At 38.9% G+C, this 27,797-nt stretch overlaps 1 protein-coding gene and 1 pseudogene across 11 annotated transcripts in view, besides 1 other annotated feature; both read right to left on the bottom strand.

The window, feature by feature from the left end:
• FNDC3B (fibronectin type III domain containing 3B) overlaps positions 1–27,797 on the bottom strand; it is a 362,092-nt gene that overhangs the window by 144,203 nt on the left and 190,092 nt on the right. For 7 of the 11 annotated variants that reach the window (NM_022763.4, XM_017007064.3, XM_024453717.2 and 4 more), the window contains 2 exons: positions 9,691–9,934; positions 5,926–6,207 (listed from right to left, as the gene is read on the bottom strand). In NM_022763.4, coding sequence (NP_073600.3) covers positions 5,926–6,207; positions 9,691–9,934 — 526 coding nt within the window. The remainder of the gene's footprint in view (positions 1–5,925; positions 6,208–9,690; positions 9,935–27,797) is intronic. The other 4 variants (XM_017007062.2, XM_047448756.1, XM_047448755.1 and 1 more) reach the window with 1 other exon arrangement.
• Positions 1,164–1,359: a silencer, noted in NCBI's record as "fragment chr3:171973898-171974093 (GRCh37/hg19 assembly coordinates)". NCBI's record gives its function as "represses an EF-1alpha promoter that drives an FKBP-Casp9 reporter gene in an ReSE screen in phorbol 12-myristate 13-acetate-treated (for megakaryocytic differentiation) K562 erythroleukemia cells {active_cell/tissue: K562(+PMA)}" and the evidence as "EXISTENCE:reporter gene assay evidence [ECO:0000049][PMID:32094911]".
• Positions 19,870–20,120, bottom strand: RN7SL141P (RNA, 7SL, cytoplasmic 141, pseudogene; annotated as a pseudogene).

Raw genomic sequence — 27,797 nt, 5'->3', positions numbered from 1 at the left:
TTTGAAAATCACTGACTGTAACTCACCTGTTCATTTTACTGAAAGGGAAACCACGGCTTAGTGAAATGACATGTTCTATGTCACACAGTCCAGAACGCCGATTATTTAAAATCTTACAATTCCATTCTGTTTTTAAAATGTAAAAGTCATATATGAAAAAGACATCCTCACTCTTAGGGTAAGCCCCAGGAACAAAGTGAAAGTCAACAATGTCAACTGCACACAGCAAATTTTTATACATAAAAAAGTGTTTGGAGGCCAGGCGCAGTGGCTCACACCTGTAATCCCAGCACTTTGGAAGGCTGAAGTGGGTGGATCACCTGAGGTCAGGAGTTCAAGACCAGCCTGGCCATCATGGCGAAACCCCATCTCCACTAAAAATACAAAAATTAGCCAGGCATGGTGGCAGGTGCCTGTAATCCCAGGAGAATTGCTTATAACCTGGGAGGTGGAGGTCTCAGTGAGCCGAAATTGCGCCACCGCACTCCAGCCTGGGCGACAGAGCCAGATTCTGTCTCAAAAAAAAAAAAAAGTTTGGAAATTGTGACTTTACACTCTTGATTTCCTCTCCCTTCACCATCTGCCCACATATACACACAAACACACACACATACATATTATTGAGACTACTTAGGTCTTTTAAAATTAAACAGTGGATCCTCATCAAAGCTTTTGTTTTTTACTCTAAATTCACCTAATTATTTCTATAACAATATTAGCAGATAACCTAACTGCTTTCTGAGGGGCTATAACTGGCTGAAAATTGAAGGATTTCAGTTAGAAAACTGGATCCTGACTCACTGTATCCCACTCAATAACTTCCTTAAAATATTGTGTGCTTTGGTTTTTTTATCAAGAATAAAATGGAAGAAATGAAGCTTCCTTCTCACTCAATGAAGAGCAACAGAAACTTCTTTAGCTTCTGCAGTGAAAGGCAATGTGACTATTTTAACTGGGTTTTGGCCACAGAACAGGCTCAAGGCCCAGCTCTTGCATAATACTCCGTACACAAGAACAAATTTTTCCATTCCTGTCCTTGAACATCTGTGGACTGGATGCCCAAGCACTGTTCTAAAATGAAATGCTGGGAGAGGAAGAGAAAAGGAAGGCAAAAACTCTTGAAATATTTTCCCTTAACTTATCTGCCATCATAATATGTTGGAGAGACAGGCAGGCTTCACAGAGGAGGTGATAACTGAGCTGGCTCTTGAAGGCCTGAGTTGGAGTTTGCTAGGCAGAGGAACTGGAAGGACAGGCCAAAAAAGGGGAATGAGGCATATTCACAAAATGGGGCAGAACACCGCATGTCTGGTGGGGAAATGTGAAGGGCCACAAGAGGTGAGTATGTGTCATATCATGCAGTTTAGACTTTATTCTCTAGACAGTGGGGAGCACCACAAAGGTTCTCAAGGAAGGAATTAAAATGTTGAGATCTATTTAACTGTAGTCACAAGAGAGGATGCACTGGAGAGGAAAATGAATAATCACACATCTTAAACCATAAGGTGGCCCTTCTGGGCAGTCTCTTAAGGTTCAGAGGGAGCAAAGAAAATCCTAAGAAACGTATGAGGAGACACCAGGGACCATGAGAAAGGAAGTCCCAAGAGGCTGTGCACCAGAGTTCTTTCTCACTCAGAGCTGGAAGTGCCCTAGGACGAGGTGACGAGGAGATGTGTGAGATCTGGTACCAATTCCACCAGAGAGGACCCCAAGGTATCTGTACGTTTCTACCCAGTGGCAACCTTTCTTAAAAGAGCCTGGAAGTGTCCAGGCACAGTGGCTCACGCCTGTAATCCCAACACTTTGGGAGGCTGAGGCCAGGAGTTGGAGACCAGGAGTCAAGGCCAGCCTGGCCAACATGGCAAAACCCCGCCTTTACTAAGAATACAAAAAAATTTGCCAGACGCAGTGGCTCACGCTTGTCATCCCAGCACTTTGGGAGGCCGAGGTGGGTGAATCACCTGAGGTCAGGAGTTCAAAACAAGCCTGGCCAACATGGTGAAACGCCATCTCTACTAAAAATGCAAAAAGTTAGCCAAGCATGGTGGTGTGCGCCTGTAATCCTAGCTACTCGGGAGGCTGAGGCAGAAGAATCGCTTGAACCTGGGAGGCAGAGGTTGCAGTGAGCTGAGGTCACGCCATTGCACTCCGGCCTGGGCAACAAGAGTGAAATTCCGTCTCAAAAGAAAAAAAAGAGCCTGGAAGCAACTTTCAGAGACAGTGGTCCAGGAATGCAGGGTTTAGCTTTCAAAATATAAGACGGGTTTAAGCAAAGGAAGCCACTTCTGGCTTAAAGAAGAAATGTAGGGAGCTGGGGTGAGGGGAATGGAGCATGAAGGGAAGGGAAAAGGCTGCCAGATGGAGAGTAGAGAGATGCCTACTTTGAGAGGCAGCTATCTCAGATGAGAGGTGATCCTATAATAACAGGAGTCCTAAAGATGAGAGAGACAAGAATATTCAAGTCATAAGGGTTACCATTATATTAAAGTGTTAAGAACTAAAGCAAGGGTATTTTTAATATTTAATAATGGAAATTAAAATGCCCATTTTACAAAGTGAACATGGAAATTCAGGGAAAACTAAAAGGAAATAGTAAGTAACAAAGCCCAATTCTAAGCCAAGTACTATATGTCTAATACTAAAGCCCCAACTGTTCTCGGCTCACATCACACCATTAGCTCCAAGGGAGTGCAAGAAGACAGAGATCCCATATTTCTCAGAGTGTACTATGGGCCTCTGTCATGCCTGTTTTCCTGAAGGTAACAGTAAATGAAAGGGGAGGCTAGCCACAGAGCAGTTTCCTTGAGCAATGCAACACTTTGTTCCAGGAAAAGGAAATGGTACAATAGCTTTGTGTGTTCAAAAAGAAGGCTTACTCTGGAAAACAAGGCAATTAAGAAAACAGGACTCATTTAACAATATATACTGAGTACCTACTATGTGTCAGGTACTAGAAGGAGGGAGAGAATGATGAATAAAACAGATACAGTCCCTATTCCATACTGTGTACAACTTGGTTAACCATCCTTATTACTATGATAGTATAATAATTTTCTATCTTGGCTGATTATACATTATCCCCAATGGAGGTTTGATTAAAAAAAAAAACATGAAGTCAAAAGTGGTATGAAGATTCTGATTTAGTAGGTCTAAAATGGAGTCCATGAATCTCTATTGCTTTAAAGTTTCTGAAGCATAGTTAACTGAGTGAACTAGACCTCAAGAGAGAAATTAAGGTATCCGCATCTTTTTAATACATGTATTTATATTAACATGAGTTGTTTGCTTCTTTTACATGTGCTTAGTTTTACCACAGGACCAGGCACAAACTTAGTCTTTTTTTAAAGATTTGTTTTTTGTAAGTGATAAAAAGTTAAATTATTCAAGCAAATTAACTCAAAGGCAAAGGAATTATAAAGTAAAAAGAAGGAGGCCGAGGTGGGCAGATCACCTGAGGTCATGAGTTTGAGACCACCCTGGCCAACATGGCAAAACCCCATCTCTACCAAAAATACAAAAATTAGCAGGGTGTGGTGGCACATGCCTGTAATTCCAGCTACTCAGGAGAGTGAGGCAGGAGAATGGTTTGAACCTGGGAGGCGGAGGTTGCAGTGAGCTGAGATCACACCACTGCACTCCAGCCTGCGTGACAGGGCAAGACTCCATCTCAAAAAAAAAAAGTAAAAAGATTTCTCTCTTCTGGCCATGAGAACAACTTAACCTAAGTAAAACATTACATAAAAAAAACAAAAACAAAAAACACACACAAGTCACATGTTATGGTTAGGTATATATTCTACTCTTGTGCAAACCACATATGAACCTATTAGGTTTATCATACTAGTATTAAGTATAGTTTTAGATTAATCAGGTGGCACTGGAAACTTAAGAATCAGTTAAGAAGTCTGTTTCCGGGGCACAGATTTAGATGTCAGCCGCAGTAAACTCCAGCAGGAGATACACTGTAAGGATGAGAAAGAAGGAAAAAGCCTTTTGGGATCCTAGGAGCCAACAACCACATTTTGAGGCAGACACAACTGAAACATTGTGAGCCACTTGATGGACCCCATGAACAAGAAGTGTTTTATTCTTCGTCTACACTATGTGATTCACGTTTGCCTTTTTGCTGTGACAACCAGGAGGCTGAAAACAAAATATATGGCTCACATCAAGCAATGCTACTGGAACCCTGCTTCATCTTATTAATATTTTCCTTCCCTTATCATCTTTCGGCTCCTTAATGCTTACATTTATTTTATCTGCTTCTTTGTGTCTAAGTCATTTCCCTTAAATCAGTTTTGGTGCAAGGCAAGGTGAAAATTATTAAAGAATGAGTCAAGTAATCAAAGTACTTCAAACCTCGTAAGCTCTCTGGACAATTTATACATTCTCTCTCGTTTTTCTTCGGATAAAAATTCTCTTCAGGAAAATCTATTCATAATTTTTTTTAGTATGAGTTCTTGTATAGTCATGGTTAAATTGTAACATTGCTAATAAACTAATTTCAAACTTAGAAATTACAGTATCATTTGACTAAAAATTATTTTATATGAGACCCAGCATCTTCCCTTAAGAGTTGTGTAAAAGTCTCTTGAATCTTTGCTTTCTTTTGTATGATATTGATTTATGTTTTGTTTAAGAGTTATAAGAATAACGTGATAATTGCAGAGTTTGGAAAATAGAGAAAAGAATACATAATTCAAATTAAAAGAACACATGATCTATTCACATTTCACTGTATCTTACTATTCCTCTCTCAGGCTGAAATTCACTCACCCAAATAACGTAGGGGGAAATGCCGACGGCGATATTTCATTTTACCTAATCTTCCTCTCTCTTGTCAGAAGCTCTTCCATAGACACTCAAAAATACACATATTCCATCTTTTTCATTCACAATCACATTCTCACAGACACAGTCCCTTTTTCTACCTGAATGAGATGCAGTAAGGAATCCATAAATTCAATGAGTGTTATAATCAATGAGTGTTATAATCAGATTCCTTACTGCATCTCAGTCAGGTAGAAACTGGGACTGTGTCTGTGAGAATGTGATTGTGAATGAAAAAGGGAATCTACTTGAAATAATTGATCTTATGTTTAAAAGTTGTTCAAGTCTTTGTTTTCCAGTCATTTATATCTATAAACTCACCTACCTTATCCAAATGCTACCTTTTTTGCCTCACTTAAGTCATTCTTCCCTATGCCTATAGAAATAGCCACTGTTTTTCCTTATGTGGCATCAAAATAGGTTCTCTCTAAACTACCTCCAAAACTTCATTTAAACACATAAACCTTCCTCCAAATGAACTGATCTACCCAAGAGATTCATCTACAAAAAGACAGATGCCATTCTGAGTTGATGTTTCTCTACCTATATGTGGTGGCCCTCATTCTTCCATCTTATTCTTAGTTTCTGAACACTTAATTCACAGGCAAAAGGTGGTATGAGACAATAACTGATGCCAAAACTAAACAGAAACATATTTCTGTGATTCAATGATAGATTTCATTACAGAAAGGAAGTAATTACGTATGGTTTATGAGGTATAATTATTTTGAGATTTAAACTAGCCTACACTTTTAGAAAAATTATCTTTGGATTTCTTCCACATCTGTCTATTCAGAGAGTGAAACAACAGAAGTAGGCTAACATGAAAAGATTTTCAAATATTTGTTATTAAGTGCAAAGTTGCATGGCATCTGTGACCAAAATGTAGTATTTCTGCCATGAAGTATTAATAAAAAATAAACAATGCAATATTATTTCCTTACCAAGAAATAGATCAAAGAAGGTCTACTCAAATATTCTTAGCAGAACAACCAACCACCATGAAATAATATTCTCATGTAAAAGATGTGGAAACATCATTTGAGATGTCTCTGTCTTGATAATTCACTCTATGGCAAACATCTTGAGTATTACCTTGCAAGTCTGAATCATTCGACTTTGGGCTGCTTCTTGCTCGTCGCTCTGTTTTCTTAATTCCGGGACCACTACCGCTGCCGCCTCCGCCACTTCCACCACTATGGCCCTTCCCATAGCCATTGTATACTGTTGTGCAGCTGCTTTTGTAGATAGAAGAAGGAGGGCTGTTGAGGCGGTTCTGGCGATCGATCTGGCGGTCTTTCAGTTTTTTGTGCGGAGGCTTGCTGTACTGGTCTTCTCGGGTGATGTAGGTTGACATTCCATAAAATGGTATAATTTCTAAAATGGATGATTATGATAAACCCAAACTCAGTTTACATTTTCAATAATAAATTATTAAATGGTCAAATGATCTGGCTCCTGAAGAAGTCTAAAGTATAAAGGAAGTCTAAAGTATTACTAAATAGAGTCTAATAAATATTTTTTAAGAAAATACTGCTGGGCACAGTGGCTCACGCTTTGGGAGGCCGAGGTGGGCGGACTGTCTGAGCTTGGGAGTTCGAAACTAGCCTGGGCAACATGGTGAAACCCCATCCCTACTAAAAATACAAAAAATTAGCCAGGCGTGGTGGTAGGCGCCTATAATCCCAGCTATCCAGGAGGCTGAGGCAGGAGAATCGCTTGAACCCTGGAGGCGGAGGTTGCAGTGAACTGAGATTGCATCACTGCACTCCAGCCTGAGCGACAGAGCAAGACTCTGTCTCAAAAAGAAAAAGAAAAAAGAAAATGCCATATACATGATATACATTTAAAGCATTCCCATTTGTTTCTAACCAATCAAGGAATAATCAATCATTAAAAACTACACTGTGTGTTCAGAAAAATTCCTATATTACAGAGAATACTGAAGACAAGGTTGTTATCCCTAAAGAGCTCATATTCTAGTTGCATTTATAACTGAGTTTGATTTTTACCTTTCAATATGTTTTCAGTAGTTGCAATACATGAAAAAGTCAGAACAAATAAAATACCCCTATTAAACATGTACTTAGAATCAAGCTACTTTAAAAGTCTACTCATCCCTGTAGACAGAATAGTATTTCTACTGGGAAGTATATTGCAGTCAAAGTTTTCTGTGGCATACAAAAGAGCCAACATTTGAACAAATTTAACTAAGATAATGAGATGACATATTTCCATTTAAAATAATCAAAGCTCACAGAATCAGGGGAAATGTTCAAGGAGGAAGTATAAGGATAAAGAAAAGCCATCTCTGAAATCTGGTGCCAAACATAATAAGCTGTGGTCTCAAACTTCTCTTTTGGAGTAATAGAAGGCAAGACAAATGTAGAATGTCACCTGACTTTACTATGCACATTTTAAAGTGGCTCAAAAGAAAATAGAAGCCTGCAAGCAATCTTATGATCTCAAGGGGAAAACTTTATGTTAAATTTAAATTTTTAAATCAGTTCAAAATTATTTTTAGGTATCAGTAAAAATGACAATGCGTAACATAAAGATTGGGTCCTTACATCTTTATAAGAAAAAAGGGTCACCTCTTCTATGGAGTGACAATATAAATTACCATCCAAATCTGAACACTTCTGAGAGCGAAAAGGAAGGAATATCAATAATTTCTTCAAGGCAAGAGACCTACACTAGGACTGTCACAGGCACAACAGAAATGTATGGTTACCCTGCATAATTTAACAAAACTGCTGTCTCAATTACTCAACAGTAAAGCTCCACTGTTTCTTACTGTTAACATAGCTAAAGCATAAACAAGAGTTGTTTTGTTAAAAAACAAATCTTCATGAGAGAACCAGTTTGCACTAGAGAACGTGTCAAAACAAATATAATCCTATTCAGAGAGTGTGTATCCAAAGAAACTATGTCAAAATATACCAGAAGGATAGTAAATGTTCTAAACACCACGATGTATTACACATGAGATTTAACATATTCACTATGGGCAGTAATAATCTTTTCAGACATGTTGAAAACTTTTAAAACTCTTATAGTTTAGAAAATTAATATTTAAATTGCTTTTAGGTATGCACACTAAGAACTAAGGTAAAAGAATATATCAATGGCTTATTTATAAAGGGAAGGGATTTTGTTTTACTGCTTTAATTTGAAATCAATGAAGGCATTTTTATTTGCATACATTATTGCTCTGTGTTATTTTAATGGAATTAGACCCAAATACACCATAAAATGAAGAGACTACAATTTTGCTTAACTCTAATGACGATTTAAATCATACTGTTGTCTTGCCTAAAATTGCAAAGGACAGCATTTACAAAACAGTAACCATGTGGCATCCTACTAACAGACTGCTAAAATAAGGCAAGTCAGACATATACCAGCAAGCAATGAGTCAGTCACCAAGGCCTTTCATGTCATCAGAGCTCAGATACAGCCAGAAAGCTCTAAGAAACACTCAATTATTTAATGCATGTTGAGTCAAAGCACTGAATACATTAAAAAAATTACAGCTAACTAAATTTTTTCAGTTTTTATCCAAATGTTTTCATAGTATATCCCCAATACTTGATGTTTTCTTGGTGTGTCGCATGGAAAAAAGATCAAATTGATAGGAAGTTATTGATGCTGCTATGAAATCAAAGTATTGATTTCATGTTTTGCTATCATCCCCTTATACGACATTGTGAAAGCACCTGATTAATTTGAATCATGTCAAATTTCTTTGACTACAAAAAAAAATAAACAAAACACACATACAGTCAAATTCTATCCCTAAGTTACAACGATATATTTCACTTAAAATATCATCTCAAAAAAGTTTTTTCTGTGAATAAGTTATAATGTGAGATGAACAGGGAATAATTATATATATAAAAATATAATTATAAATAAATAATTAATTATATAGAAATTATATAATTATATATATATAATTCTTAAAAGTGATAACTTGCTCAAACATTCTATGGTATAACAGGCATTTCTTCTACAATGTATCTAAACCAACATAATAAATGTCTGAAGCAGTAAAATGCTTCCATTCATAGTCAGACTCAGAAGAAAATCACTTTGCAAAGTCCTAGAGGCTAAAGTCTAATTTTACCCTCAATTATCTGGTTTCTTAGTATCCATTTTGATAGAGAAAGCCTTTAGACTAAACCAACACCAGGGTCAAAACTTTAAAAAGATATAATGTTGGTAGCTCTGAGGCTCTTTTCATATCCAGGTAAGTATTTGCCTAACAATCAGTGAAATTGCGGCTGCACTAATGGCTACTCTTAAACTAAAAGCAGGTTCAGGAAGGCCACATCAACAGCCAGGGGATTTTTGAGTTCTGCCAGCATCACAACATAGAGCCTTTTAGGAAACCTAAAGGTTCTTGAGACTTCACAATCTTCAAACACTGGAAATGGGGCACAAAACACTTTTCAATTTCCCTTTAACTGGTAGATCATATGGATACCAAAGAAACGATGTGCCACAGTTGTACCTCAGGCCACTCTCACATACAAACATGCTTTCAGGACATGGGAACGATGTCACACTGCCACTTTTCTAAAATAAAAGGTGGCTACCTTACTCCTTGATCTTGTAAGGTGGGGGTTGGGGCCGAGTTTGTGAAAACTGAAAGAAAGAAAAAGAACTAAACCCACAAAGTAATTTTTCCAAGGCACCATTCAGGACAAAGGAAGCTAGGAATTCCCCATGAGTCTTACAAACCACCTAGATCCTTTTCTACTATGCTTATTTCACAAGAAACAAAGGACCGCCTTGAACTATTGAAACGCTGTAATCAGTTTCAACGGCTCCTGACGCCAACGAAAATCTACTCACCTTGCTCACCATATATTGTGTGGGGAAGATGATGCTGGGGAAAAAACTGAGGCGGCATATCTCCAGGTCCGGTAACAGGTGGGTAGTAAGCCGTGTGTGAGTTATGAATAAAATGTGGATGGTGAGTCAGATAGGGAGGGAGATGATGGGTTGGAGACATGGCTGAGGGGTAGCTTGGGGGATAACACTCAGGAGACTGGGGTGTGACCACCACCCGGCGGACTCCAGTACTATCTTCAATCACCTAAAGAAAAACACAAAAGGAAAGAACGCAGTACATATTAGCAGCCTATGAATATATATAGTATTAATAACTTCCACTTTAATTTTACTTTTCTCTTCCACCATAGAAAAAAACAAATGCATGTTGTATTCTGGTTCTCTAGTTCAACCAGTCAAATGAGTTCTAGAAGTAATAACATGTAACTATAAAAACGTACAAAAACAAATTATTCATTGACATCTGATTCTGATCCCATGTAACTTTTTGGAGAGACCAGTATTTGATAATAAATCTTGTTTTTGTCTTAAAATTTTCACTGGCTTCATCCAAGACGAGTGAATTTAATGTGTGCTGAAACTGATTCTAGGAGTGACTTTTGAATTTAACTATCAGTTCAGTGGTTTTCCAGAAAGAGGCTTTCTGTGCCACCTAAGTACTTTTCCAGGGCTAGGCTTCTAGATATGCTGACAACATTCTTCCCCTTTCCTGCTTTAACATGCACAGTTCCATCATCATCAGGGCTTTAGGAAACAAAGGTGGCATTAACGTCAGAAGCCGTAAGTGTGCCCTAAGATTACTTAATCTAGGACTGAGGATATGGATGAAATGAGGGATTCTGACCAAAGAAAAACTTAAGTAACCCCAAATCAGTATGGACACTTTTGCTCCCAAGATGTCCTCATGATGAGTGTTGTGAAAGAAGATGCTTGGAAAAGCAACCTGCTATGAGAAAAGCAAGCCAATCAACACTCTATCCATTCTTTTTCCAATTCTTTGTTCATTATTTATTTTTAGAAATGGGATTTCACTCTGTTGCCCAGGCTGAAGTGCAGTGGCTACACGCAGGTGTGATCATCATACACTACAGCCTTGAACTGGCCTCAAGTCATCTTCCTGCCTCAGCCTCCAAAGTAGCTGGGACTACAGGCATGCACGACCGTGCCCAGCTCCTCTGAATGTTTTCTAATTCATCCAAGTAGAGCAACGAAGGCAGCACAATGCCAATATTTATTGCCTCTGTGGCCAGCGTCACACTACCAGCTCCTATGAGCAAACAACTTTGGTGAAACACAATGAAAGAAATAACTAACACAACAGATACCATGATGAAAAGGTAAAGTTGTAGGGTACAGAGAATGATAACGTGAGATGGGAGAATCAGGAAAGGCTTCAGGGACCTCAAACAATTGGCAGGGCTGGGACAGCTGAGAGATGGCCTCTAGGTCAGGGCCCTGCAAGGAAGTGGACACGGAGTAAACCTGGCAGTGAGGGCCAGGCTGCCAAGAAGCCATGCCAGCTGATCTAATCAAATGCACGATCGGGCACACACTCTGACAGGAAGTTTTGTTTTACAAAAAAAAAAAAATCTAAAAACCGCACAAAACTGACCTTCTATATTGAAATGGATTTCTCATTATACCTCAGGAGGTTAATTATAGGACAAAATAAAATGACTTAATCATGTCTAAAACATCTTAATAACAACAAAAAACTATACTTAGCTTCATATTTTAAAAGTAGTGCTTAAGACAGATTGGCAAGTCTATCAATGTTTATGTTATATTTCAGTGTACAAAATAGGTTTAGATTGAATGAACGGCCATTAATCCTTATGTTAAAAAAACAGAAATCTTTACATTCATTAATAAATCTATCAAAATAAATGTTTCTACTGTGTTAATAGTTCATAAATAAGATAATATTACCTATTTAAAATTAAGATTCCTAGTGAGATGCCTAGGACACAGCTTTTCATGTGATCTTTAATAAATATAATCTCTTCTGGGCCTTGGCAAGCTAATCACACTAACCCCATTTATGAATGCATGGAAGCTAATTTACAAGTGTATGTGAAGTGGGTGCTTAAACCATGACATTGGAAATTCTCATGCATGTATTGATAATTATCATCAAAGCTTCTTCTATTTTGTCTAAAACATAGAGCTGCATGCTGTTTGGTAGCACATGTATATAAATAGCACATGTAGTATAAATACATCATGATTTTTTTCCTACGATCTGACACAAACATGCATTATCCTACAGTGTCTTATTTCCCTCCTCACCCTCTACTAGCTATTAAGAAAAAAAAAAGGCATATTCCAGATGTTTCTCTTTCATGGAACCTTCATTCAATCCTGGAAGGACCACAGAAGTAAAGTACTTGTTTTCTAGAGGTTTACAATCTTTATTCTTTCATTCAGTGTAAAACTTCCAAAAGTCAACCAGCAACATAGACAACTGATGAAGTAGAACAAGAACAGGGCTCTCACTAAATATTAAGAGGCACGCTTTGGACTTTTAAACAAGACTATTTATAACGAAAAAATTTATTTGATCATTTTATCATATAACTTTGGACCTGTTAACAAAGTGGTTTTAAAAAAAAATTATCAAAAAGCACTAACTTTTTGAAGTTTTTTTTGAAGTAGCTTTTTGAAACCACAAATTGCCTGTACATATAAAAATTGCTTGACAGCTCCATTTTAAAGTATCTTATTCTGTGGGATTTGTAAAAGGTTTTTATTTACATGTGCATGCATAATGAAACCCTTTTAGAAACCTGTTCTTGACAAACCCAAGCCTGTCTTATCATTAAAAAGATTTATTTTAAAAAAGTGAAATATTGGCCAGGCGCAGTGGCTCACGCCTGTAATCCCAGTACTTTGGGAGGCCGAGGCAGGTGGACTGTCTGAGGTCAGAAGTTCAAGACCAGTCTGGCCAACATGGTGAAACCCCATCTCTGCTAAAAATACAAAAAATTAGCAGGGTGTGGCAGCGTGGACCTGTAGTCCCAGCTACTCAGGAGGCTGAAGCAGGGGAATTGCTTGAACCCAGGAGGTGGAGGCTGCAGTGAGCCAAGATCGCACCACTGCACTCCAGCCTGGGTGACAGACGGAGACGCCGACTCAAAAAAAAAAAAAAAAAAAAAAAAAGGTGAAATATTAATTCTGAAATAGTAGAAATATAAAAAATATGTGAATATTTTTACCATTTTTCTATAACATAAATTGCAACATATTTTAGTTATCCAATTCAGCTTTGATCTACATCTAAGGAAATTATGCCTAAGTCTCCCCCAAAATAAGAAAATCTGAGGAGCAATAACAATGCACAAAATAATTGGCAACTAAGGAAACGGTGGCAGTAACATTCTTTAATAAAGATGGCTCATAAATAAATATATTACTGTAGTCGAATTTAGACATCAGACAGAATTCAGTCCAAAACACCTGAGGCAAAAAAAATATGCCTTCATTCTTGGTAGACGACTAAGGAAAAGACAAATTCATTTCCTTTTGTGGTGTAGGAAATTGTGAGAATGTCCAGAGGCAGATGAATCACCTGTATTCAATTCAACTATTATTTCCTGACACATACTATGTGCTAAGGACTGGATATTCAAAGGGGAGAAAAAATAAGTGCTCAACAGTAAGACTCATCCACACAGCCTAAGAATATAAAGAGAAAAATTAGACTAAGTCCTAGTAAGTGCTGTTAAGAAAGCAGAAGTGTGGTGATTTCAGAAATCAGAATAAATATTCTTCATCTAAATTTTTTCCAGCTCTATGACCCAACAGAACTGTCACTCACATATCCTCTCCAGAGAAGCATAGAGCCTTGGAAAAGATCATTATGCCGGGTTCTCAGACTGTCACCTATCATGGGCTGACTTATGTGTCCCCAAATTCAAATGTTGACGTTCTGATGCTCACTACCTTCAGAATGTGACTGTATTTAGAAACAGGGCATTTTAAGTAGACAATTAAGGTGAAATGAGGTCATATAGGTAGACTCTAATCCAACAGTATCTATATAAGAGGAGATTTACAAGACACATGCACAAAGGGAACATCACGTGAAGACACCAAAGGAAGATGGCTGATATGGTTTGGCTGTATCCCCACCCAAATCTCATCTTGACTTCCCACATGTTGTGGGAGGGAGTGGGTGGGAGGTAATTGAATCATGAAGGCAAGTCTTTCCCGTGCTGTTCTCATGATGGTGATTTAAGTGTCACGAGATCTGATGGTTTTAAAAACAGGAGTCTCCCTGCACAACCTCTTTTTTTGCCTGCTGCCATCCATGTAAGATGTGACTTGGTCCTCCTTGCCTTCCACCATGATTGTGAGGCTTCCTCACCCACATGAAACTGTAAGTCCAATTAAACCTCTTTCCTTTGTAAATTGCCCAGTCTCAGGTATGTCTTTATCAGCAGCATGAAAACAGACTAATACAGTAAATTGGTCCAAGAAGAGTGGCACATTGCTGAAAAGTTACCCGAAAATGTGGAAGCAACTTTGAAACTGGGTAACAGGCAAAGGTTGGAGCAATTTGGAGGGCTCAGAAGAAGGCAGGAAAATGTGGGAAAGTCTGGAACTCCCTAGAGACTTGAATGGCTTTGACTAAAATGCTGATAATGATATGAACAATAAGGCCCAGGCTGAGATGGTCTCAGATAGAGATGAGGAACTTGTGGAGCAAAGGTGGTTCTTCTTATGTTTTAGCAAAGGGAGTGGCAGCATTCTGTCTCTGCCCTAGAGATTTGTGGGACTTTGAACTTGAAAGAGATGATTTAGGGTATCCGGCAGAAGAAATCTCTAAGCAGCAGAGCCTTCAAGAGGTGACCTGGGTGCTGTTAAAGGCATTAAGTTTTATAAGGGAAGCGGAGCATAAAACTTTGGAAAATTTGCAGCCTGACAATATAATAGAAAAGAAAATCCCATTTTCTGAGGAGAAATTCAAGCCCACTGCAGAAATTTGCTTAAGTAACAAAGAGCTGAATGTTAATCCGCAAGACAATGGGGAAAATGTCTCCAGGGTATGTCAGAGGTCTTCATGGCAGCCCCTCTCATCACAGGCCCTGAGGCCTAGGAGGATAAAATGGTTGTGTGGGCCAGGCCCAGAGTCCCCATGCTGTGTGCAATCTAAGGACTTGGTGCCCTGCATCCCAGCCACTCCAGTCATGACTGAAAGGGGCCAAGGTACAGCTCAGGCTGTGGCTTCAAAGGGTGCAAGTCCCAAGCTATGGTAGCTTCCATGTGGCGTTGAGCCTGCGGGTGCACAGAAGTCAAGAATTGAGGTTTGGGAACCTCCGCCTAGACTTCAGAGGCTGTATGGAAATGCCTGGATGTCCAGGCAGAAGTTTGCTGCAGAGTGGGGCTGTCATCGAGAACCTCTGCTAGGGTAGGGCAGAAGGGAAATGTGGGGTCAGAGCCACCATACAAAGTCCCTACTGGGGCACTGCCTAGAGGGCTACCATCCTCCAGATCCCAGAATGGTAGATCCACCAACAGCTTGCATCACATGCCTGGAAAATCTGCACTCAATACCAGCCTGTGAAAGCAGTCAGGAGTGAGGCTGTACCCTGCAAAGCCACAGGGGCAGAGCTGCCCAAGACTATGGGAACCCACCTCTTGCCTCAGTGTGACCTAGATGTGAGACATGGAGTCAAAGGATATCATTTTGGAGCTTTAAGATTTGACTGTCCCACTGGATTTTGGATTTGTATGGGGCCTGTAGCCCCTTTGTTTGGGCCAATTTCTCCCATTTCGAATGGCTGTATTTACCCAATGCCTGTACCCTCATTGTATCTAGAAAGTAACTAACTTGCTTTTGATTTTATAGGCTTATAGGCAGATAGGTAGAAGGGACTTGCTTTGTCTCAGATGAGACTTTGGATTGTGGACTTTTGAGTTAATGCTGAAATGAGTTAAGATTTTGAGGGACTGTAGGAAAGGCATGATTTGTTTTGAAATGTGAGGACATGAGATTTGGGAGGGGCCAGGTACATAATGATATGGTTTGGCTGTGTCCCCAACCAAATCTCATCTTGCATTTCTACATGTTGTGGGAGGGACTGAGTGGGAGGTAACTGAATCATGGGGGCAGGTCTTTCCCATGCTGTTCTCATGATAGTGAATAAGTCTCATGAGATCCGATGGTTTTGAAAAACAGGAATCTCCTTGCACAAGCTCTTTTTTTTTTTTGCTGCCATCCATGTAAGATGTGACTTGCTTTTCCTTGCCTTCTACCATGATTGTGAGGCATCCCAAGCCATGTGGAACTGTAAGTCTGATTAAACCTTTTTCCTATGTAAATTGCCCAATCTTGTGAATGTCTTTATTAGCAGCTTGAAAATGGAAAATACAATGGCCATTTACAAGCCAAGGTGAGAAGCCTTAGAAGAAACCAACTAATCCTGCTGACACCTTGATCTTGGACTTCCAACCTCTAGAATTGTAAGAAAATAAATTTCTCTTGTGTAAACTATCCAGTCTGTGGTATTCTGTTATGGTAGCCCTACTAAACTAATACACCCCCTTAGATTACAAAGGCTCAATCCAGCACTTTCTTCTACCTTAAGTTCTACAAGCCTTGCCTGATTTAAAACAAACAAACAAAAACTCTCTTTTAAAAAGTGATACGTTTAGCCTCTGTGAACAAACACTGAGCCATCTTGCTCAGGCTAATGAAGAAATCTGGCCTGATGGCTAATAGAAGCCAGGCTGATTCTTTATCATGTCTGTTTTATCCAGCTTAGTACACGTTTACAAAAAATCTTCTACGTGCCTAGTATTCTTGCTATCCTGTGGCCTAGAAACAAGCATAAGTGGCTAGAGAATAAGGCACAAAATGTGCAACGGAGAGAATCTTTGTCTTATACTAGTGTTCTTATAAATATGACCAAGAGAATCATCAAAACAAAATGAAACAGCCTGGGGATAACAGCAAGATGGAGGGTTCCCAGGAGCAGCACAGGATGGGAGATGGAAAAGGACATCAGTCAGTGCCTGTGGTCTGTCAGCTGCTTGACATGGGCCATCTCATTCAACTTCCTTAACACTTGAGAATTAGGTATTGGCATCCCTGCTTTAGATGAAGAAAACCAAGGCACAGCATGATTAAATTGTGCAACTGGTATGCTGCAGAACCAAGATTTTTCATACTGGTGTGTACATCAAAGTTTTCATTATGTAGAAAATTATACAGAAGCTGTATATTGAGAAGTAAATAGGTAAACAATCAACTGTTGAGAATTAGGATACCTGAGTTATTAAGAGATGTGAAAAGGATTCAGGATACAACTAATACTTATTGAATACTGCTATGCTTTTAATACCCTCTACCAGAAAGGAGTTAGGTAGAGTTCAAGTTCTTAGAACAGTACCTGATACATAATGTAACAAAATCTTACTCATCAATTACTACTATTAATGTTACCACTCCACTAAATCCTGCCAACAATCCTGTGAGGCACATACAGTTACAGTTATCCCCATTTTAGAAATAAGAATGATGCTTAGGGAAGTGAAGGTAATACACTCAAGGACACGGAACTGGGTAAAGGAGGATCAATTTTGTGTATAAGAACTAAAATGGGGCTGAGCGCGGTGGCTCACGCCTGTAATCCCAGCACTCTGGGAGGCCGAGGTGGGCAGGACACAAGGTCAGGAGATCAAGACCATCCTGGCTAACACGGTGAAACCCCATCTCTACTAAAAATACAAAAAAATATTAGCCAGGCATGGTGGCGGGAGCCTGTAGTCCCAGCTGCTCGGGAGGCTGAGGCAGGAGGATGGTGTGAACCCAGGAGGCGGAGCTTGCAGTGAGCCAAGATCGCGTCACTGCATTCCAGCCTGGGTGACAGAGTAAGACTCCATCCCAAAAAAAAAAAAAAAAAAAAAAAAAAAAAAGAACTAAAATGGATCTCCTAAAAACATTTATATTTTTTTGAGGGTTGTTGTTATTTGCTTTTTTTCTTTTTTTTTTTTTTTGTCTTAGCTAACAGAAAAGATAGTTCCTCTTACTGAATTGAAATGCTTCAAAGGAATTTTAATAAACTCCTCACTTCCTGAAGCTCTTTCCTTCTACTCTTGTTGGACTACAAGCCACAAGAATCAAAAGAGAAGCTTGAAAGGCAGGAGGCAAAAGAAAAAATTAAAAAGGCTTCCCCAGATGGCCCAGGATGATCCAGGAAATGGGCAGATTCTGCACGTGGACACATATGAACCCACAAACATACGTAGTGTGATGTGCTGGCAGCCAGTTTGCCAGGGTGGCAGAAAACACTGGGTGAGTTGCCTGGACACAGAAAACTGGGACCAAATGAGTCTGTGAAAGTCAGGCTCAGGCTGAATTTCTTATTGCTGCCAACATGCCTAAAGTGGGATCCCAGGTCATTCCAGGAAGAGAAGATGTCTCAGATAAAAGTGAGCATGCGAACAATGAACAAAGAGAAGAACAAGGCTGGTCAATATAAACAAGCTGCATGGACTCAGGGGATGGGTAGGCAGAATCCAGGATTCTCCCAAGCAGGCTGGTGCTCACCTCTCCCCTCTCCACTCAGCACCTCTATCCTGTAGCTTGGACTACACATCTGTCTCTCCCACCCAGCTGCAAGTCCCTCAGAAGCAACTGGGCACACAGAAGACTTTCAGTAAATGTTGGTTAAATGAGTAAATGAATAAGAAAGCAAGCCAAAATAAAAAAAAAAAAATAAATTAATTATATCTGCTTAGATTTGGTATCTGCCAAGAATATTAGCACGTCATTATTAAAACTTTTCTCCATAACTCTGGTAAATAGCTGACATCCTATTCTAAAATCTCAGAAAATCTGAATCCAGTTAATTTTATATCTATCATTCCTGATCTTCTTATTTTAAATAAGCATGATTTTATCACAAACATTTATACAGAAAGATCAAACATCTCCAGTGTAAGTTCTACTTTAATCCTATAGGAGGCTGAGCAGTTTTATTTTGCTCACCAATCAGGAGTACAAATGCATCGGTACTCACTTTCCCAATTTGCACTAACTCTTCCCTCTGCATTTTCTAATATGGTAGATAATATAAAAAAGGAAAGGCAAGCTTGTTCTTCAGGTAGGGTAGAGATTTGAAACGTAAGGTCTGTACCCACCCTAGCCAATCCCCCTTGTGCTGCCAACTCTCACCACCATCACCCAAGTACCATAAGAAGAAAGAAAAATTAGGATAAAGGAATGTTCTAGGGCAACAAAAGAGTTTTATAGTACTAAGTGGTCAAACATTTTATTTTATAGATTAAGCTACTTGACTTAAAAATGTCAGTAGAGGGCTGACTGTGGTGGTTCATGACTGTAATCTCTGTACTTCAGGAGGCCAAGGCGGGCGACTGCTTGAACCCAGTAGTTCAAGACCAGACTGGGCAACGTGGCAAAACCTTATCTCTATAAAAAATACAAAAATTTGCTGGGTGTGCTGGCACGGTCCTGTCATCCCAGCTACCTGGGAGGATGATGTGGGAGGATCACTTGAGCAAGGGAGGTCATGCCACTGCACTCCACCTGGGTGACAGAGCAAGATCCTGTCTCAAAAATAAAAATCAAAAATTAAAAAATGGTGGAAGAATTGAATATATTACCCTAATCTCCAGACTTCCTTTTCTGTTTTCAAATCTAAAGATTAAAAGTGTGGTTGAAAACATCAAACTACTTTTCAAGCTCATTTCTCTTCACATCTGTAAATGGCTAATAGTGATGAAATAATATTTGATATTTGCAAACTTTCATTATCATTCTAGGTTTCGGACCAGCTCCTTTTGCCACAGAACATGATTATTGTTGTCTTCAAAAGGAAAAATAAGTGACTGGTGATGTTTCTAAAAGCCCTTTAAATAATAACAAAAAAAGATTATCCTGCAGAGTACTTACAGCTTGATAACAGATATCCTCTTCTGAATCAGGAAAAAGAAGAAGTTCCTTGAAAACTACAATTGTCTGTCTCAAACAGTTCTTGCCAGTGATTAAGTCTAAACACCTAATTTTGTCTGTTTTATAGGTGATCAAAATGAAGGTTTTCGCTAATCAGTTAATTCATGAACAAAAAGTCCCCAGAGTTTTTATGAGCACTCTCATTTATGTCTAGAAATCTGAAATTTCCCATCCCATTGGTGCTTTATTTTTCTTTTTTAAGAGATAGGGTCTCACTGTGTTGCCCAGGCTGGAGTGTGATGGCTATTCATGGGCATGTTCCCAGTACTGATCAGCATAGGAGTTTTGACCTGCTACATTTCTGACCTGGGCCAATTCACCCCTCCTTAGGCAACCTGGTGGTCCCCAGCTCTCAGGAGGTCACCCCATTAATGCTGAACTTAGTGCGACCACCCTGTCAGCATAGTGTGATACAGCCCAATACTCCTGGGCTCAAGCAATCCTCCGGCCTGTAAGGCACACACTGCCCAGCTGGTGCTTAATTTTTAACCCACACACCAACTGCAGGCAATAGGTAAGGTACAGACTGAGGGGAGAAGGGTTAGCTCCAGTTAACAAATCAAGTGTTGCTGTTCAGGAGAATCACAGCTGAAGGTACTGAAGGTACTGGTGCTTGTCTTCAGCATTTCTGGGCATGAATCTTACCGACAGGCTTTATTTCAGAGGTGATCAGTATAAGAAGACACTCTCAAAAACGGCAATCCTTCCACTGGCTTTGTACATGCCAACACTTTTATACACTCAGAAATAAAGCCAAGCTTCTATTCACACTTATTTAAGTCTTAAATCTGGCAAAGGAGCACAGCTAAGTCATATATAAATGAAATCAACTGTGAGTACTTTACCAGAACACCTAGCTCTTTCCAGGTGCTACTGTCCAATGACAGTAACCCCTGAGGGTTGGACAGGAGAATGGAAACAAATACAGATCTCTGTGGTACCTCTCTGATCCAACTACTTCAGTGAATTATGTAATAAAGACTTTCCAAATTAAGAAGGAAGTCCAGCAAGGTCAAGAGACACATCTTATGAACTGGAGACCCCAGGATGAGCCCTCAGTTAGCTAGCTACAGCTCCACTTTACTATAGCCCAGAGTTGTCCCCAGATAGAGAATCCCATGGGCAAAGAGGAACCCCTCCCTGGTTAGAGGGCTAAGCTTCTCCAGATACTGCAGAGAACCACGAGGCCTCATCTCAAAGTAGGGGTCCAAAAAAACACAGCACTGGGGACTGATGCTGAAAGCAAAACAGCAATTGATTAACTTAATATATAAGAATCGAAGTGACAACAGCAACTCCTACAATTTGTATATCACTTAATAGTTTATAAAACACTTGGCACAGACCTTGACTTGCATAAAACTCAGAAGATCTAACATAAGCAGCATCACAGTCCTAAATTCTAGCTGAGGAATCTTCAGCTATGATTAAGTAAATTAACCTAAGGTGGGCTAAACGGGTGACAAGATTCATACCCAGATACTCTCACTGGAAATACCACTCCACTTCTTTCACACTTGATTGTATATTACTGACCTAAATACCAAAAAGAACCAAATTCAAAAATCAAAAATCAAAAATCAAATCTAATCCTGCAAACAAATGTGTGGCACATAAGAACACTGGACAAGTGAAAAAAGTTCCATCCCAAGAGTTTCAATCGATACTAAAATGGATCAAATAATTATTTCAGATTAAACAGAAATGCTATTTTAGGGGACAGGCTTTCTGTTAGGTGACAAACAGTAAGTAGACATTTGATGGCTTTATTTGTGCCCAGTTGAGCTGCTTCTGAGATGTGAATAAAGCTATCAGCAGTGGGCATCTGCAGTACCTGTCCATTACCCATCACAGAAGGGAAGGCCAGTCACATCTTTTCAGCCCAGCTTCTCAGGCACACTCAGGTCCATGGAAACACAGATAGATTATTCCAGTGATGCCAATACACAGAACAGGGTCTTCCAGACTTAACCCAACAGGCAACTGGCATATTCATCAACATAAAATAATTCCTTACATTTAAACAGAACATGTTACCATTCAAGACTTTCACACCTGTGAGACAGCCCAGACAATCTCTGCAGGGAAGGATACAGCTATACCTTTCCAGAAATGAAGGCAAAGTCTGAAGTTAGAATATTTTTCATGGTTACTCAACTTGTAGCTGTACAGGGTAGAGCCCATGTTTGGAATACTCTGACCCCTGCTCTTTCTACTACTGTACTATCCCACTCAGATTATGAGATTAGACATGAGGTATCAAGAAATCAGTCTGGACCCTTCCCAGTAACAGAGCTATGGTTCTAAGTTTCAAACATACTATTACTCACCAAAAGGGGCAAGAGCCTTAACCAGGTACACAGACCCTAATCCCCCCAAAATAAGATGAACAGAATTCAGGGGACCATGATCTCAGTTAGAAATTACATCTTTATTATTCACTAACATCCAACTGAAATTTTGTATTTCCCTGATTTATAAATGTAGGCAGCAAATCATAGTAGTATTAGCAGTACCTTTGACTTGGTTACTAACAAAATGTGACATTTCCATGTCATATTACAGTGTTATAGAAATATTAATCTTTATAATAATCACAACTTCAAAATTATTGTAGTTACTAGATCTGATGCTAGATGTTATTGATGTGCAAATAAACCAGCACAAAACTTACCGTATCACCTTTTAAAAAAATTTGACCAGTTTTGAAAAAACTGGTCTCCTTTGTACCTATGAATTTTATATTTTCCTTTAAAAAAGGCTTCCCCAGTCTGTCAGTGGGTTCCTTGGTACAATAAAGAATTAAGAACCCATTCTGAAGATATTCAGGTAACACCTATCACAGATTAAAATAACCATATTATATAATTCTAATTTTGTGAACCTAATGGGTTTCAAAGAATGTGTAGAAATATAAAATTCATCTAACCTTGGTAAAGTTTTGCTACCCAACAGGTCAGAAAAAGGTATTTTTCTTAAAAAAGTTATTACATATGACAAATATGACTTACTAGTTTAGAAAGATAGATTATAATAATTGTGCAATTAAATAAAATGTAATAGAAAGGGCAAATTTAACACTAATGATTCCGAAGTCATTTCTGGATGTGATACTGTGTCAATCCTACTATGAAAATCAATTATCATTTTTGTATAGAGGTGAAAACTAGCATTCTAGTCAATAAAATGCTAAATGTCAATAAGTGTGCCACACTGCTTTGGTAATGACTGCTTTTGGAAACTTACGTATAGTCTCATTTGATACCCTGTTAAGGAATAATATGAACAGAGGAGAATAATCTAATTTTAGATTAGAAAAGAACCCCAGAGATCCTGAAACACTTTCCTCTCTCCGCTTCCCTCCATGAGATAAAAATCACTCCAGCCAGATAGCCAAATTTTGATAAATGCCTATTATGTGCTGGGTACCTTTCAAGGAACTAGAGATCAAGTGATGAACAGGACTGAACAGGACACACAAGGTCCCTGCCTTTGTGGACTTAAATGCTAAAAGGAAGACAGACAATGATCAAGTAAACAAGTGACACACCCAAATAAATCACTTAATATTCCTAAAATCACACAGAGAGTTGGATGTAGAGCCTCGCTTGGGCCCTCGTTTCCTCCCACTAATCCCATGTTCTATTATGTCACGATGCCGGGATCACAGAAACAAAGGAAAGAAATCAAAGAGAAAATGCAGAACAGGGAGAAGGCTCAGAAAGACGAAACTGCACAATACTTTGAGGGGAGGGGATGTCCTTGGTACATTTCTTTAATTTAGCATTGCCAACCCTGTCTGTAATTGCTCCTTGGACAAAATAAGCCACAAGATAAAAAATAAAATTGCTTCAAATCCATTGATAACTGAAACGAAATATCTAAGTACTATGCTGTTTTCCATGGAACACAATACCAACCCCCATGCACACAATGTACACTATGGAACAATTCCCTAACTTCCTATAGAGAAATCAGTTCCTCTGAAGGACCAAGAGTGTTGAAAGAGAATCCAATTCTCCTTATTGGCCACCAAATGGGTCTGAATCTCAGTTTCTCAGGGCATAGGGCAGTCCCCCATGTGCCTTTCTGTTATCATTTTCACAACGTTGAAGGTGAAACAAAGCAGTGGTTTAATCCCCAGCTGTAATTACCAAAGGGAAGCAGTTGAGGCTAATGTCTATAGCTCAGCTGGCTTGGCTAAGCGAAATGGGGGGAAAGTATTGCACAGCTTCCACCTAACAGGCCCCACTGTTTCTCCACAGAGGTGTCTGCTTTCTGGCCAGCTCTCCACTCATCATTGGCAAATGACCAACCAAACCAAAATTCAAATATATTTTTCAATACATTTCTTGTCTTTCCCTGGCTAAGGGAAATGAAATATATATAATTTCAACAGGTACTGACCCATTAATTAATCCCCAAAATAATCCAATGCGGTATTTTTGTTGTTTCTGCTCTCACAACAAAAATATTTATTTTGACTACTAACTTTTGGGATTACAACAGTTAATCTGGAAAAAGAAGAGTGGTTTCCCAAATGATAGAACATTAACTTGGAGGTTTCACTTTTTCTCTTCATATGCTTTTTAAATCCTTGGGTCAATATGAAGTTTTCCCTATAACATTTGAGCAAATGTATCATAAATTACTACGGAAGCATGGAAAATAAAACTCAAAGCATCTGCTTAAGAAATTTTTACATATAAATTATTCAGAAAGTTAATGGTGAGGTTAAAAAACAGAGAGCCATGGCCAGTATACAATGGAAGGAAAATTTTCCTTCACACCATGTGATTTCAATATGTATTTAGGAGGGCAAGCTCTGCCAAACTTCCATTGGAACTGTTGTAACAGTCTTTTTCATTGTAGTAGCTACTACTTACTGAGTGCCACACCTCACATAACATTTCTCCTAATTCTTACCTCTACCACGTCAAGTAGGTGTTCACATATGTGGTGAAATAATTTATCAAAGTTACACAGAAAGTAGCCAAGATGGAATCTGAAGAAAGGCCTCTCCAGGTAACGTCCATGTTCTCCTTCAGTTTCAACTCTAATCACACTCACAAGTGCTTTTACATAATGGAGATGATGACTGTGATAAGATTAAATTCCCACTTACCTAAATCCACTTTCTCATAGTTTAAAAAAAGGTCTATATTTTCTCTCAAGTTGAAAAGAATCCCTCTACCTCTCATCCCACTAAAAAATAAGGCACAAAACACACCACATCCCCCAACCTACTATATCAGAGAAACCACCAAGCTGAAATGACAGGATTCCACTGTTTTTGCACCCTAAGTCCACAGTTATCTGTAAGGTCCACCAATTCAGCCCTTCTCAACCTAAGAAAACAAAGCTCGTGCTGTTGATTGCACCTCCACAGCTGTCTGTTAAACTTCAGGAGTTTATTATCTGCTTATTACTGACATTTGTATTTTGTCAGATTTGACCAATTTTATTAATTTATCTTTAAAGGACTTTCGGCTATTTAATTATACAACAAATCTGCTATAATCAAGAACTTCTCTATTCAATCAGATTAGAGTTATTACCATAAAATCTTGATTTACTTGCCTCCCTCTTCAATTTTCTTACAATTAAAGACCATACTGGCAGGGTGTGGTGGCTCACACCTGTAATCCCAGCACTTTGGGAGGCTGAGGCAGGTGAATCACTTGAAGTCAGGAGTTTGAGACCAGCCTGACCAACATTATGAAACCCCATCTCCGCTAAAAATATAAAAATTAGCCAGGCATGGTGATGCGCGCCTGTAATCCCACCTCCTTGGGAGGCTGAGGCACGAGAATTGCTTGAACCCAGGAGGCAGAGGTTGCAGTGAGCCAAGATCATGCCACTGCACACCAGCCTGGGCGTCAGAGCAAGACTCCATCTCAAAAAAAAAAAAAAAAAAACGGTAAATAAAGACCATACAATGCACAAGCAGTTGGTGTTTTAGAAATGGAGATGCATAAGTAGGCACAACACACACCCACACTCACACTGCCAGAAAGCAATAAAAATCATCAGGACAAGGCTCTGCCACGGACTGTGAGATTGTATCATAATGGGAAAGAGGTCAGTGTAATCAGAAATGCATGGGCTGCAATCCTGGTTCCAACCGGGGCGTCAGCATCCTCATATGTAAAGACAGGACAGTGAAAACTAGACATAAAAATAAACCATTTAGCACAGTGCACAACATTCATAGTAGTTACCATCACCATCACCACCACCAATAACTCCAAAGTGGGGCCATTTTCCCAGCTGCCCCATTGTTTCCCAATTCATAACTGGGACGTGTCACTGTCTTCCCCTTGCCCCTTCTTTTGTACTAGCTTTATTGAGATTTAGTTTATATAACATAAAATTCATCCGGTCACAGTGTCCAATTTAGTAGGTTTTAGTGTCACAGTTAAGTAACCACTACCACTATCTACTTCCAGAACATTTTCGTCTCCGCAAAGAAACAGCATACCCCATTAACTCCTTCCCCCCAACTCCTGGCAACCATTGATTTATTTCAGTCTCCATGAATTTGCCTATTGTAGACATTTTATATAAGTGGAATGATACAATATGTGGCTTTTATATCTGGCTTCTTTCACTTAGCATACTGTTTTCAAGGTTTATCCATAGTTTAGCATGTATCAGTTCTTTATTCCTCACTATGGCTGAATAATAGTCCATTGTGTGAAGATATTATATTACATTTACCTATTCATAAGTTGATGGGCATTTGGGTTGTTTCCACTTTGGGGCTATTATGAATAATGCTCCTATGAACATTCCTGTACAAGTGTTTGTGTGGTCATATGTTTTCATTTCTCAGGTATATACCTAGGGGTGCAATTGTTGGGTCATATGCAACTCCCTATTCAACCATCTGAAGAACTGCCAGATTGTTTTCCAAAGCAGATGTACTATTTTACATTAACACATACAGTGTATTCCACTTTTCCTACAACCTTGCCAATACTTGTTACTGTCTTTTTGACTATAGAAATCCTAGCACATTAAGGTATTGCAGTGTGGTTTTGATTTACATTTCTCTGATGGCTAATGATATTGAGCATCTTTTCATGCTCTAACTGGCCATTTGTATATCTTCTTTAGAGAAATGTCTATTCAGGTCCTTTGCCCATTTTTAAATTTCTTTTTATTCTTGACTTGTAAGTTTTTTATACGTTCCAGATTCAAGTCCTTTCTGAAACATATTGTTTGTACATATTTTCTCCCATTTTGTGAATTTTCTTTTAATTTTTGTTGTTGTTGTTCTTTTTTTTTTTTTGAGACAGAGTCTCACTCTGTCACCCAGGCTGGAGTGCAGTGGCACGATCTCAGTTCACTGCAACCTCCGCCTCCTGGGTTCAAGTGATTCCCCTGCCTCAGCCTCCTGAGTAGCTGGGACTACGGGCATGTGCCACCACACTTGGCTAATTTTTTTTTTTTTTTTGTATTTTTAGTAAAGATAAGGTTTCATCATGTTGGTCAGGCTGGTCTCGAACTTCAGACCTCAAATGATCCACCTGCCTCGGCCTCCCAAAGTGTTGGGATTACAGGCGTGAGCCACGGTCCCAGGCCTCTTTCCACTTTTTAATGGTGTCCTTTGAGGCACAAAAATTTTTCATTTGTTTAAAGTCAAATTTATCTATTTTTTTCTCTTGTTGCTCATGCTTTCGGTGTTACATATACAAATCCATTACCTAATCCAAGGTTATAAAATTTTGTATCTCAAGTTTTATAGTTTTAGTTCCTAGATTTATGTTTATAGTCCATTTTGAGTTAATTTTTGCATATGATGTGAGGTAGTGGTTCAACTTCACTCTTTTTGCATGTGGATATCCAGCTTTTCCAGCACCATTTATTGAAAAGATTATTCTTTTCTCCAGTGAACTGTCTTGGTGTTCCTCTCTCTTTTAAATACACATTCAGAACATTTCATTCTTTGCAGGTATAGATCAGTCTCATTGTTATTTTCCATCTATTGAGCATTATATTATTCTCTTTAAACATGCAAATCATTTAAGAATATATATGAATCTCTCCTGTACTTACTTAAGCTTGGACAATCATTTATATTTAGAAACATTTAGCAAGTACCTACTTTGTGCCACGCAGTATT

The sequence above is a fragment of the Homo sapiens genome, chromosome 3, assembly GCF_000001405.40.
Source record: "Homo sapiens chromosome 3, GRCh38.p14 Primary Assembly".
NCBI lineage: Eukaryota > Metazoa > Chordata > Mammalia > Primates > Hominidae > Homo > Homo sapiens.
This window is presented reverse-complemented; position numbering and strand designations above follow the sequence as displayed.